Source organism: Homo sapiens, chromosome X, assembly GCF_000001405.40.
Source record: "Homo sapiens chromosome X, GRCh38.p14 Primary Assembly".
Taxonomy (NCBI): Eukaryota; Metazoa; Chordata; class Mammalia; order Primates; family Hominidae; genus Homo; species Homo sapiens.
In genome coordinates, this window is record NC_000023.11 from 131,665,396 (window position 1) to 131,667,163 (window position 1,768).

The window sequence follows — 1,768 nt, forward strand, 5'->3', positions numbered from 1 at the left end:
GATATTATCCAGGAGAACTTCCCCAATCTAGCAAGGCAGGCCAACATTCAGATTCAGGAAATACAGAGAATGCCACAAAGATACTCCTCGAGAAGAGCAACTCCAAGACACATAATTGTCAGATTCACCAAAGTTGAAATGAAGGAAAAAATGTTAAGGGCAGCCAGAGAGAAAGGTCGGGTTACCCTCAAAGGGAAGCCCATCAGACTAACAGCGGATCTCTTGGCAGAAACCCTACAAGCCAGAAGAGAGTGGGGGCCAATATTCAACATTCTTAAAGAAAAGAATTTTCAACCCAGAATTTCATATCCAGCCAAACTAAGCTACATAAGTGAAGGAGAAATAAAATCCTTTACAGACAAGCAAATGCTGAGAGATTTTGTCACCACCAGGCCTGCCCTAAAAGAGCTCCTGAAGGAAGCACTAAATATGGAAAGGAACAGCCGGTACCAGCCGCCGCAAAATCATGCCAAAATGTAAAGACCATCGAGACTAGGAAGAAACTGCATCAACTAATGAGCAAAATAACCAGCTAATATCATCATGACAGGATCAAATTCACACATAACAATATTAACTTTAAATGTAAATGGACTAAATGCTCCAATTAAAAGACACAGACTGGCAAATTGGATAAAGAGTCAAGACCCATCAGTGTGCTGTATTCAGGAAACCCATCTCACGTGCAGAGACACACATAGGCTCAAAATAAAAGGATGGAGGAAGATCTACCAAGCAAATGGAAAACAAAAAAAGGCAGGGGTTGCAATCCTAGTCTCTGATAAAACAGACTTTAAACCAACAAAGATCAAAAGAGACAAAGAAGGCCATTACATAATGGTAAAGGGATCAATTCAACAAGAAGAGCTAACTATCCTAAATATATATGCACCCAATACAGGAACACCCAGATTCATAAAACAAGTCCTGAGTGACCTACAAAGAGACTTAGACTCCCACACATTAATAATGGGAGACTTTAACACCCCACTGTCAACATTAGACAGATCCACGAGACAGAAAGTCAACAAGGATACCCAGGAATTGAACTCAGCTCTGCACCAAGCGGACCTAATAGACATCTAGAGAACTCTCCACCTCAAATCAACAGAATATACATTTTTTTCAGCACCACACCACACCTATTCCAAAATTGACCACATACTTGGAAGTAAAGCTCTCCTCAGCAAATGTAAAAGAACAGAGATTATAACAAACTATCTCTCAGACCACAGTGCAATCAAACTAGAACTCAGGATTAAGAATCTCACTCAAAACCGCTCAACTACATGGAAACTGAACAACCTGCTTCTCAGTGACTACTGGGTACATAACGAAATGAAGGCAGAAATAAAGATGTTCTTTGAAACCAATGAGAACAAAGACACAACATACCAGAATCTCTGGGACACATTCAAAGCAGTGTGTAGAGGGAAATTTATAGCACTAAATGCCCACAAGAGAAAGCAGGAAAGATCCAAAATTGACACCCTAACATTACAATTAAAAGAACTAGAGAAGCAAGAGAAAACACATTCAAAAGCTAGCAGAAAGCAAGAAATAACTAAAATCGGAGCAGAACTGAAGGAAATAGAGACACAAAAAAACCCTTCAAAAAATTAATGAATCCAGGAGCTGGTTTTTTGAAAGGATCAACAAAATTGATAGACCGCTAGCAAGACTAATAAAGAAAAAAAGAGAGAAGAATCAAATAGACACAATAAAAAATGATAAAGGGGATATCACCACCGATCCCACAGAAATACAA